Raw genomic sequence first — 12,631 nt, forward strand, 5'->3', positions numbered from 1 at the left:
CTGGCATTGAGTCAGTTAGACAAAGTTAAGAAAAAACTCATGGTGGCTGCATTTCGTGGACTGGGTTGAAACATAATCTATTTTGTCAAGTAAGGTCATAATTTGGCTAGTTACCATACCTGTCACGATAGTAATGTAGGTAGGGACGCTTTTATGTATTTGAGACAGGTTCTCACTTTGTTGCCCGGGCTGGAGTGCAGTGATGCCAGCATAACTCACTGCAGCCTCAAACTCCTGGGCTCAATGATCCTCCTCCCTCAGCCTCCTGAGTAGTTGGTAGTTGGGACTACAGGTGCTTACCGCCATGGCTGGCTAATTTTTTTTTTTTTTTTGTAGAGATAGGGTCTCCAGGAGCTCACTATGATGCCAGGCTGATCTCCAACTCCTTGCCTTGAGCGAACTTATTGTCTCTGTCTCCCAGAGTGGTGGGATTATGGGCATGAACTACCTTGTCTAGCTCGATAGAGATACTTTAGATTTTTTTTTATATATATATTTTTTTAAGAAATGGGGTCTCTGTCTGTTGCCCAGGTTGGAGTGCAGTGGTGTAATCAGATACTGGAGCCTTTAACTCTGGGGCTCAAATCCTGTACTGGAGCCTTTAACTCCCCACAAGTAGCTTGGACTGCAGGCTTTTCTCAAACTCAGGGCCTCCAGCAGTCCTCCCACCTCTACCTTATAGGCATGAGCCACCATGATGTCTTCTTTAGTTCTTTAATTCCTCAGAATTTAATTGGAATCCCACAACAAACCAGCAGTCAGAGGAGTTAATACTTTCATTTTGTCAGCCCGATTTTGAAAAGTTGTAAAATTTTCTAATTATTCAATTTCTTGGTAAACTTGGATCAGCATTAGATTTTTCAGTAGTAAATTCTTACACATCCTGTAGTATTCAGTATCACTAATATGAAGCTCGAATCTTCCATACTCTGATAGAAGTTATCAGTTATACTATGCTCAGCTTCCAAATGATAAAAACTAGTGGTGTGATCACCATGGCTCACTGTAACCTCTGCTTCTGGGTTCAAGGGATCCTCCTACCTCAGTCTCCCAAGTAGCACAGGCCACCATGCCTGGCTAATTTTTTTTTTTTTTGTATTTTTAGTAGAGAGAGGGTTTCACCATATTGTCCAGGCTGGTCTCGAACACCAGTCACATACGCAGCAAGTTCTCTTTAATCTCAGGGCCTTCATACTTACTTTCCTTCTTGCCGAAAACTTTCTCCCACTGATAAGTACATGGATTGCTTTTTCTATTTTTTTAAAAAAAGTTCATTTGTTTATTTTTAATTGAGAAGTAGAAACTATATATATGTGTATTTATGGTATACAGCATGATGTGTTGAAATGTGTGTCCGTTGTGGGCGGGCTTCATGGCTGGCACCTATAATCCCAGCTACATTTGAGGCTGAGGTGGCAGGATTGCTTGAGGCCAGGCGTTCATGATGAAATAATATGTATACATTGTGGGCCGTTGTCCAGTGCAGTGATGCAGTCTCGGCTCACTGCAACCTCCGCCTCTTAGGTTCAATCGCTTGGGTTCAAGCGATTCTCCTGCCTCGGCCTCCTGCCTCAGGCCTCAGGTGATCCACCCGCCTCGGCCTTCCAAAGTGCTGGGATTACAGGCGTGAGCCACCATTCCCGGCCTGATATTTGTTGAAGAAATCATTTCAGTATGTCCCATCATTTTAGAAATTTTATTTTGAATTAGTGTCTAATCAGGAACAACATGACAGAATCTTTGGCTTTTTAAAATGGCCTACAAGTTTATACTTTACCAAAATTTAAGTAGGAATTTGGGTATTTTAAAATAAAATGAAGGCTGGGTGTGGTGGCTCACGCCTGTAATCCCAGCTCTTTGGGAGGCCCACTTGAGACCAGGAGTTTGAGACCAGCCTGGGCAACACAGAGCCCCACCTCTATAAAATAAATACAGAAATTAGCAGGGTGAGGTGGTGAATGCCTGTAGTTGTAGCTACTCAGGAGGCTAAGGCCGGAGGATCACTTGAGCCCAGGAGTTCAAGGTTGCAGTGAGCCAAGATTATTTGACTGAACTCCAACCTCAGCAGTACTGGGTGAGAGAGCTAGACCTTGTCTTAAAAGTGAAAATTAAATAAAATAAAGATCACACTTAAGTTATTATGCTGTGAGTTTCTTCCTTTCTTTCCTTTCCTTTTTCCTTTCATTTTTTGAGACAGAGTCTTGCTCTTGTCTCCCAGGCTGGAGTGCAGTGGTACGATCTCGGCTCACTACAACTTCTTCCTTCCAGGCTTAAGCCATCCTCTCACCTCAGCCTCCCAAGTAGCTGGGACCACAGGCATGCACCACCATGCCTGGCTAATTTTTTGTATTTTGTTGTTGTTGTTGTTGTTGAGATGGGGTCTCACTGTGTTGCCCAGCTGGTCTCAAACTCCTGAGCTCAAGTAATCTGCTCAGCTTGGCCTCCCAAAGTGCTGGGATTACCAGTGTGAGCCACTACACCCAGCCTGGCTATGAATTTCTTACAGTGAGATTTGATCAAGATTAAAAGCTGTTATTGATAAAATGATTCTAAAATTCAGTTCTTTTGGCTACTTTGTACATGGATACACATGAACCATTTTACAAGGAAAATGTTATGTGTATTTGTCATTCACTTACAATTTTAAATTTTGGGAATATAATAAAAGGCAATCTATGTAAAAAGATGACACCGATGTAGTTGGTTTACTAAGTAATTCAAGAGGAGCAGTGGCTCTCTCTTTTTCTCTAGGTATTCCCTAGTGCTTTCATCGTAAAATAGGATTCTAACAACTATTAATGTATTTGGAGTTTCTTAAGGGTGTAAAATAGGTCAAGTAAAGATTTTCAAGAGTCATACAGCTGCTTTTCTCTCTGCCCCAAAAGGGGAGATTTGGGTTGGCCAGCAGCTTCTGACCCTTGTTGTTAGTGTGTGGGCCTTCCTTTGTTCTGTTGCCTTCCTCACCTCCCAAAGGTACTTTTAGCACCCTATTTTTTTCTCCTCTTTGAATTATAAACATTGTTCTGTAGTATTGAATTTTTGAAAATTTCTAGATTCTAGAACTCTGTCCATTGTGGATGGAGCTTGTATATATGTTAGTGTGTACCTTAGTCTAGAACCTTCAAGTGGGTTGAGTGCCAATGTGAGTACCATGTGATTGTTTTCTAAATTGGCTATACTTGCCATTTTAAATACTTTGAAATGGAATTTGGCATTAAGGGCTACAAGTCGAAGGCCTCTGCTGATTAAACTATGTAGTTGATGACATATTCTACCATCTAGCTGCTTAAATATGAGAGAGTGGTTTTGTATGTTTTACTAAGTAAAAAAAAGGATATTTAAAAGAATAAGAAAACTTCTACCACTAAGGAGCTTTATAATGAAAAGAAGTAATTAAATGGTACAAAATGGTAATGTACTAAGAGTAAATCTTTTGAGTTATTTTGGGTCTCTTGTGCTAAAAAGTAGATGCCTTTCAGAAGACGTTAATATAGCCTTTCAAATAATTTGTTTGGAAGGATCAATCATGCACCCTGCTTTCAAAGGTTTGGAATTGTGGTTGGAGAATTTTACCCCCAATAGCTGAGTCTAAGGGTAGGAGAAAGGTAAGAGACTTTATTCATGTGTAGTTTTTCTTATCATTGTATGCAAATTTAAGGATTAAACTTTAAGGAGACTGTATAAGACACTTCTTAAACTAGAAAGTGCGTGGGAGAACAAACGGTAATGAGCTGTTTATGTATATATCTTTTTCTTTTTTAAATTATAGTGGTTGGCACTTACCATGGTTCCCCAGACCAGTCCCATCAAGTGACTGGTAACCACCAGCAGCCTCCTCAGCAGAACACTGGATTTCCACGTAGCAATCAGCCCTATTACAATAGTCGTGGTGTGTCTCGTGGAGGCTCCCGTGGTGCTAGAGGCTTGATGAATGGATACCGGGGCCCTGCCAATGGATTCAGAGGTAAAAAAATAAAAAAGGAGGTTCTAATGACCTTTTACTAGTTCAAATTATTTTTTGATTTGTAAAATATATCACACAGTTTTTGGGAAGGATGTATCTGCATTAGCCTCCTATGTGCAATTTAAACAATGTATATTTTGGTACAATTTGTGTATTTGGTATAATTTGTTATTTAAATAACAGATCATGGAATTTTTGTTCATTTGGTTATGTCAAATTAATGTCTACCACTATCTCCTGGAGGATAAGTATTTTCCACATTACCAAAACTTACGGGGATTGTTTATTATATTTGTACAGATGTGTGTTTACATGCATAGATGGGTTAAAAGTTTATCTTCTGAGGGGCAGTTAGTACTTACAGAAATTTATAAACAGATTGGATCAAGATAGGAAATTGGAGATTAATTTGATTAACTAGCCTGGCTTATAATTTCTAGTTCTTCCCGTCTTCATTAATAAAAAAGTAAAAATTCCTTGTGAAGATAAGAAAATTATTTCTTTTCTTGTCCTAAATTTTAGGAGGATATGATGGTTACCGCCCTTCATTCTCTAACACTCCAAACAGTGGTTATACACAGTCTCAGTTCAGTGCTCCCCGGGATTACTCTGGCTATCAACGGGTAGGTAAAGTAGTTCTAAAGTGTAAACCTGAACTAAATATACCAATGAAAGTGACTTAGTGTTGTTGCTTAATGAACCTAAGTAACTAATTTGGCGTTAACTTTGTGGTGTCCAAGACACTCTGTTGAAACAAAAGCTTTTAGCACTCAACATCAGTACTCCTTTAGTAAAGCCTGTTAAAGACAGTGATTTCCAAGAGCAGAGAAATATATTTCACTGAATGTTCTTTGAGAATAGTAGAAGTACAACAATTACAGAACAAGGTGTAGCTGTGATAAACTGATACTGAAGTGTCTAAAAGATTAAGGAAGAATTCTGTATTGAGTGTTAGACTGAAAGAATAGATGGGTAAGCATTTTTTAAAAAGTACCTTTTCAATACTAACTAGCTTGTCTTTTAGGATGGATATCAGCAGAATTTCAAGCGAGGCTCTGGGCAGAGTGGACCACGGGGAGCCCCACGAGGTAATATTTTGTGGTGGTGATCCTAGCTCCTAAGTGGAGCTTCTGTTCTGGCCTTGGAAGAGCTGTTAATAGTCTGCATGTTAGGAATACATTTATCCTTTCCAGACTTGTTGCTAGGGATTAAATGAAATGCTCTGTTTCTAAAACTTAATCTTGGACCCAAATTTTAATTTTTGAATGATTTAATTTTCCCTGTTACTATATAAACTGTCTTGAAAACTAGAACATATTCTCTTCTCAGAAAAAGTGTTTTTCCAACTGAAAATTATTTTTCAGGTCCTAAAACCTGCTAAATGTTTTTAGGAAGTACTTACTGAAACATTTTTGTAAGACATTTTTGGAATGAGATTGAACATTTATATAAATTTATTATTCCTCTTTCATTTTTTTGAAACATGCCTATTATATTTTAGGGCCAGACACCCTTTAATGGCCGGATAAGCCATAGTTAACATTTAGAGAACCATTTAGAAGTGATAGAACTAATGGAATTTGCAATGCCTTTTGGACCTCTATTAGTGATATAAATATCAAGTTATTTCTGACTTTTAAACAAAACTCCCAAATTCCTAACTTATTGAGCTATACTTAAAAAAAATTACAGGTTTAGAGAGTTTTTTGTTTTTCTTTTACTGTTGGAAAACTACTTCCCATTTTGGCAGGAAGTTAACCTATTTAACAATTAGAGCTAGCATTTCATGTAGTCTGAAATTCTAAATGGTTCTCTGATTTGAGGGAGGTTAAACATCAAACAGGTTTCCTCTATTGGCCATAACATGTATAAAATGTGTGTTAAGGAGGAATTACAACGTACTTTGATTTGAATACTAGTAGAAACTGGCCAGGAAAAAGGTACATTTTTCTAAAAATTAATGGATCACTTGGGAATTACTGACTTGACTAGAAGTATCAAAGGATGTTTGCATGTGAATGTGGGTTATGTTCTTTCCCACCTTGTAGCATATTCGATGAAAGTTGAGTTAACTGATAGCTAAAAATCTGTTTTAACAGCATGTAAAAAGTTATTTTATCTGTTAAAAGTCATTATACAGTTTTGAATGTTATGTAGTTTCTTTTTAACAGTTTAGGTAATAAGGTCTGTTTTCATTCTGGTGCTTTTATTAATTTTGATAGTATGATGTTACTTACTACTGAAATGTAAGCTAGAGTGTACACTAGAATGTAAGCTCCATGAGAGCAGGTACCTTGTCTGTCTTCTCTGCTGTATCTATTCCCAACGCTTGATGATGGTGCCTGGCACATAGTAGGCACTCAATAAATATTTGTTGAATGAATGAATGAATGAGTACTGGTGGAATACTCCATTAGCTTTACTCTTCTTTTAGCTAAGAGAACATGAGCAAATTTGCGCATGACAACTTCCAGGACAGGGGAAACTTGAACACTGAAGAATTGACCTCTTAAGCCTAATAATGTGGTGACAGGCTGCCCACATGCTTCTTGACTTCAGATGAAAATCTGCTTGAAGGCAAAACAAATAATATTTGAAAGAAAAATCAAATGCCATTTTTGTCTTCTAGGTCGTGGAGGGCCCCCAAGACCCAACAGAGGGATGCCGCAAATGAACACTCAGCAAGTGAATTAATCTGATTCACAGGATTATGTTTAATCGCCAAAAACACACTGGCCAGTGTACCATAATATGTTACCAGAAGAGTTATTATCTATTTGTTCTCCCTTTCAGGAAACTTATTGTAAAGGGACTGTTTTCATCCCATAAAGACAGGACTACAATTGTCAGCTTTCTATTACCTGGATATGGAAGGAAACTATTTTTACTCTGCATGTTCTGTCCTAAGCGTCATCTTGAGCCTTGCACATGATACTCAGATTCCTCACCCTTGCTTAGGAGTAAAACAATATACTTTACAGGGTGATAATAATCTCCATAGTTATTTGAAGTGGCTTGAAAAAGGCAAGATTGACTTTTATGACATTGGATAAAATCTACAAATCAGCCCTCGAGTTATTCAATGATAACTGACAAACTAAATTATTTCCCTAGAAAGGAAGATGAAAGGAGTGGAGTGTGGTTTGGCAGAACAACTGCATTTCACAGCTTTTCCAGTTAAATTGGAGCACTGAACGTTCAGATGCATACCAAATTATGCATGGGTCCTAATCACACATATAAGGCTGGCTACCAGCTTTGACACAGCACTGTTCATCTGGCCAAACAACTGTGGTTAAAAACACATGTAAAATGCTTTTTAACAGCTGATACTGTATAAGACAAAGCCAAGATGCAAAATTAGGCTTTGATTGGCACTTTTTGAAAAATATGCAACAAATATGGGATGTAATCCGGATGGCCGCTTCTGTACTTAATGTGAAATATTTAGATACCTTTTTGAACACTTAACAGTTTCTTTGAGACAATGACTTTTGTAAGGATTGGTACTATCTATCATTCCTTATGACATGTACATTGTCTGTCACTAATCCTTGGATTTTGCTGTATTGTCACCTAAATTGGTACAGGTACTGATGAAAATCTCTAGTGGATAATCATAACACTCTCGGTCACATGTTTTTCCTTCAGCTTGAAAGCTTTTTTTTAAAAGGAAAAGATACCAAATGCCTGCTGCTACCACCCTTTTCAATTGCTATCTTTTGAAAGGCACCAGTATGTGTTTTAGATTGATTTCCCTGTTTCAGGGAAATCACGGACAGTAGTTTCAGTTCTGATGGTATAAGCAAAACAAATAAAACGTTTATAAAAGTTGTATCTTGAAACACTGGTGTTCAACAGCTAGCAGCTTATGTGATTCACCCCATGCCACGTTAGTGTCACAAATTTTATGGTTTATCTCCAGCAACATTTCTCTAGTACTTGCACTTATTATCTTTTGTCTAATTTAACCTTAACTGAATTCTCCGTTTCTCCTGGAGGCATTTATATTCAGTGATAATTCCTTCCCTTAGATGCATAGGGAGAGTCTCTAAATTTGATGGAAATGGACACTTGAGTAGTGACTTAGCCTTATGTACTCTGTTGGAATTTGTGCTAGCAGTTTGAGCACTAGTTCTGTGTGCCTAGGAAGTTAATGCTGCTTATTGTCTCATTCTGACTTCATGGAGAATTAATCCCACCTTTAAGCAAAGGCTACTAAGTTAATGGTATTTTCTGTGCAGAAATTAAATTTTATTTTCAGCATTTAGCCCAGGAATTCTTCCAGTAGGTGCTCAGCTATTTAAAAACAAAACTATTCTCAAACATTCATCATTAGACAACTGGAGTTTTTGCTGGTTTTGTAACCTACCAAAATGGATAGGCTGTTGAACATTCCACATTCAAAAGTTTTGTAGGGTGGTGGGAAATGGGGGATCTTCAATGTTTATTTTAAAATAAAATAAAATAAGTTCTTGACTTTTCTCATGTGTGGTTGTGGTACATCATATTGGAAGGGTTAACCTGTTACTTTGGCAAATGAGTATTTTTTTGCTAGCACCTCCCCTTGCGTGCTTTAAATGACATCTGCCTGGGATGTACCACAACCATATGTTACCTGTATCTTAGGGGAATGGATAAAATATTTGTGGTTTACTGGGTAATCCCTAGATGATGTATGCTTGCAGTCCTATATAAAACTAAATTTGCTATCTGTGTAGAAAATAATTTCATGACATTTACAATCAGGACTGAAGTAAGTTCTTCACACAGTGACCTCTGAATCAGTTTCAGAGAAGGGATGGGGGAGAAAATGCCTTCTAGGTTTTGAACTTCTATGCATTAGTGCAGATGTTGTGAATGTGTAAAGGTGTTCATAGTTTGACTGTTTCTATGTATGTTTTTTCAAAGAATTGTTCCTTTTTTTGAACTATAATTTTTCTTTTTTTGGTTATTTTACCATCACAGTTTAAATGTATATCTTTTATGTCTCTACTCAGACCATATTTTTAAAGGGGTGCCTCATTATGGGGCAGAGAACTTTTCAATAAGTCTCATTAAGATCTGAATCTTGGTTCTAAGCATTCTGTATAATATGTGATTGCTTGTCCTAGCTGCAGAAGGCCTTTTGTTTGGTCAAATGCATATTTTAGCAGAGTTTCAAGGAAATGATTGTCACACATGTCACTGTAGCCTCTTGGTGTAGCAAGCTCACATACAAAATACTTTTGTATATGCATAATATAAATCATCTCATGTGGATATGAAACTTCTTTTTTAAAACTTAAAAAGGTAGAATGTTATTGATTACCTTGATTAGGGCAGTTTTATTTCCAGATCCTAATAATTCCTAAAAAATATGGAAAAGTTTTTTTTCAATCATTGTACCTTGATATTAAAACAAATATCCTTTAAGTATTTCTAATCAGTTAGCTTCTACAGTTCTTTTGTCTCCTTTTATATGCAGCTCTTACGTGGGAGACTTTTCCACTTAAAGGAGACATAGAATGTGTGCTTATTCTCAGAAGGTTCATTAACTGAGGTGATGAGTTAACAACTAGTTGAGCAGTCAGCTTCCTAAGTGTTTTAGGACATTTGTTCATTATATTTTCCGTCATATAACTAGAGGAAGTGGAATGCAGATAAGTGCCGAATTCAAACCCTTCATTTTATGTTTAAGCTCCTGAATCTGCATTCCACTTGGGTTGTTTTTAAGCATTCTAAATTTTAGTTGATTATAAGTTAGATTTCACAGAATCAGTATTGCCCTTGATCTTGTCCTTTTTATGGAGTTAACGGGGAGGAAGACCCCTCAGGAAAACGAAAGTAAATTGTTAAGGCTCATCTTCATACCTTTTTCCATTTTGAATCCTACAAAAATACTGCAAAAGACTAGTGAATGTTTAAAATTACACTAGATTAAATAATATGAAAGTCTGGTTTTCTCACTGTCCTTGAACGCAGTCTGCTTAAGTTGTTAAAAACCATCCAGCAAAAGCTGTAGGTGAAGAAGTGCTACTGGTGTGAAGAGAGGAAAAGGTTTATAAAAGCAATCTGATAGCCTCATCTAATACACTTCTCAGCTTCTGCTACTAATATCCTACTTTTAACAAGCTGTTCTGAAGCTTAATCCAGTTACATAAGCAGTACGGCTGTTTTGAGTAGAGGCAGTGGAAGATCAGCAGTTTGTTCCTGATCATCTAGCAAAGGCATTTGTGTATTAATGCTTATTTGGAAATACCAATTTTAAGTACTGTGTTTAATAGGGAGACACACTGTATTAAGCAACTAAACTAAGGCTTTATTCAGCAAATTAGGGTATCCTTTGCCCAGCATCATGCCAAGCACTAGGCATTTAGTGGTGACAAAAATTACTGTGGTTTCTGCTTTCATTGAACTGTCTAATCAAAGACTGATGACACCAAAGTGTAGCAGATGCCATGATGGAGCAATGTGGTTGATGGCAGATATTAAAGCCATGACTGAGTGTATACCCTAGTTAAAATGATCAGGGGAGACTTAACTGAAAGGGGTAATTGAGCTAGATTTGAAGGATGAGGAGTAGCAGACTAGTCAAAGAAAGGGAGAGAAGAACATACCTAAACATCTGATCACCAGTGACTGAGAAAGTTATCAGGATCAAGTGGAAAGAGAAAGGACTAGCAGAGTTACAGGTTAGAGAAACAGGTAAAGGCTACTATGGACGGCATAATAGTTGCATCCCATGTTTTGTCTCTTAAGAACAGTTGCAAACTATTGAAGGTTTTAAAGCTGTGTGTTGGGCCGGGTGTGGTGGCTTGTGCCTGTAATCCCAGCACTTTGGGAGGCCGAGGCGGGTGGATCACGAGGTCAGGAGTTTGAGACCAGCCTGGCCAATATGGTGAAATCCCGTCTCTATTAAAAATAAAAAAGTAGCCAGGCGTTGTGGCATGCGCCTGTAGTCTCAGCTATTTGAGAGGCTGAGGCAGAAGAATCGCTTGAACCCGGGAAGTGAAGGTTGCAGTGAGCAGAGATCGCGCCACTGCATTCCAGCCTGGGCGACAGAGCGAGACTTCGTCTCACAAAAAAAAAAAAAAAAAAAAAAAAAAAAAAAAAAAAAAAAAGGCTGTATTGTTTGGGGTGGGGTTGGTGGCTCACTTAATAAAGTTACCATTTAAAGAACATTCAATGCAATGAACAACATATATGGACCAAGAGATGGTAAGGAGGCTTGTTGGAGTGGCCCATGTGAGAAATGGATTCCAACTTAAGGTGCGGATGGGGTGGTGGTAGTGAATGGATTCTATGGATTCCCTATCTCACTGGTCACTACTCAGTATCCTTTGCTGATTTCTCCAGGTCTTGGATGTCAGACTTCATCTCTAGCTGTGTTCTTCCCTGGGTGATCTGATCCAATCCCATGATTTTGAATATGATCAGCATTTTAGTCCTGAATATTTCTAGGCCCCAAACCTCTCAAAACTCATATTCAACATCTTGATATGAATTTCTCAATATTCCAAGTCAACTCCTTGATTACCCAACACCAGTTGTTCATTCATCCAGTTGCTCAGAGCAAATGTTTTGGGTGCCATCTTCAATGTACTTTTATAACCTGCATCTAATCCTTAAGTGAGTCCACGTGGTTCTAACTTGAATATCCAGAGTTATCTTATACTTCTAACTACTACCACAACTACCATCCTAGCACAGGTGACTACAATAGCTTATAATTGTTCTCCTTTTTCTACTTTTGCCTTCCTGTGATTTAGTTTTTGCATAACAGGAAGCCTTTTAAGAGGGCAAAGCAGATTTTCTCATTTCCCTGTCCCCCACAAACTCCAGTGGTTTCTCATCATGACTAGAATTAAATTCTAAATCTGGTCCTTCACTTGCCCACTGCTTTGGCCACACTGACTGCTTTGCCAGGACTCCCCCATCTTGGAGCTTTTGTATGTACATCTTTGGCACGGGGAAGTTTTTCACTCATATTCTCAGGGCTCATTCTTTCTAAATTTCAGGTCCTTGTTCCATCCAGTGTCACCCCGTCAGAGGCCTTCAGTGTTCGTTTCTAAAATAGTATCCTTAGTCACTTTACTCACTGGATACTTCTGCTTAATAGCATTTAAAACTTAACCTAGAATTAACCACGAGGGGCAGGAACATTTTGGACACTATCCCTTGTGAGCAGAATAGTGCGTGGGCATATTCACATTTTGCTGAATGAACTAAAAAATTTCATGATGGATGTTGGATTAAATGGGTAGTGCTGCTGATGACATTAAAAGTGTATCTGGGGAAGGGGTTTGGATTCAGACATTTGCGGTATCCAGGAGGAAACATCAAGCAGTTGATAATGTTTTTTGAAGTTCAGCGATCTGCCCCAAAGTCAAGAATGCAACACTATGTATAGGTTGTCCCTGTAGTCATGTTCTTGGAGTTCACTGGAAGCCCAGGGGGAGTAATTTCATTTGACGACCATATACAGGCCTAATGGGAGCCTGCAAAGTACAGCGGCCGCAGTCATGGGTAGATTACAGGATTCCCATCTGTAAGATCAGTACTGTGGGGGTGGAGGGCCAAGCGAAACCAATAAAATAGGTCTGTTGGCCGAGTTTCCTCAACTTAACGGGGATCGGTTAAATTGAACACAAATCGTTGGATCCGTCGCGTTTCGCGTAACCAGGC

General features: G+C 38.3%; 1 protein-coding gene across 5 annotated transcripts in view; it reads left to right on the forward strand.

Annotated features, from left to right (window-relative positions):
• CAPRIN1 (cell cycle associated protein 1) overlaps positions 1 to 9,901 on the forward strand; it is a 50,880-nt gene extending 40,979 nt beyond the window's left edge. For 2 of the 5 annotated variants that reach the window (NM_005898.5, XM_047426959.1), the window contains 4 exons: positions 3,770 to 3,964; positions 4,487 to 4,587; positions 4,989 to 5,052; positions 6,594 to 9,901. In NM_005898.5, coding sequence (NP_005889.3) covers positions 3,770 to 3,964; positions 4,487 to 4,587; positions 4,989 to 5,052; positions 6,594 to 6,658 — 425 coding nt within the window. In that variant the 3' untranslated portion in view covers positions 6,659 to 9,901. Of the gene's footprint in view, positions 1 to 3,769; positions 3,965 to 4,486; positions 4,588 to 4,988; positions 6,352 to 6,593 lie in introns of those variants that run through there. The other 3 variants (XM_047426960.1, XM_047426961.1, NM_203364.3) reach the window with 2 other exon arrangements.

Source organism: Homo sapiens, chromosome 11 (assembly GCF_000001405.40).
Source record: "Homo sapiens chromosome 11, GRCh38.p14 Primary Assembly".
In the NCBI taxonomy this organism is placed as follows: domain Eukaryota; kingdom Metazoa; phylum Chordata; class Mammalia; order Primates; family Hominidae; genus Homo; species Homo sapiens.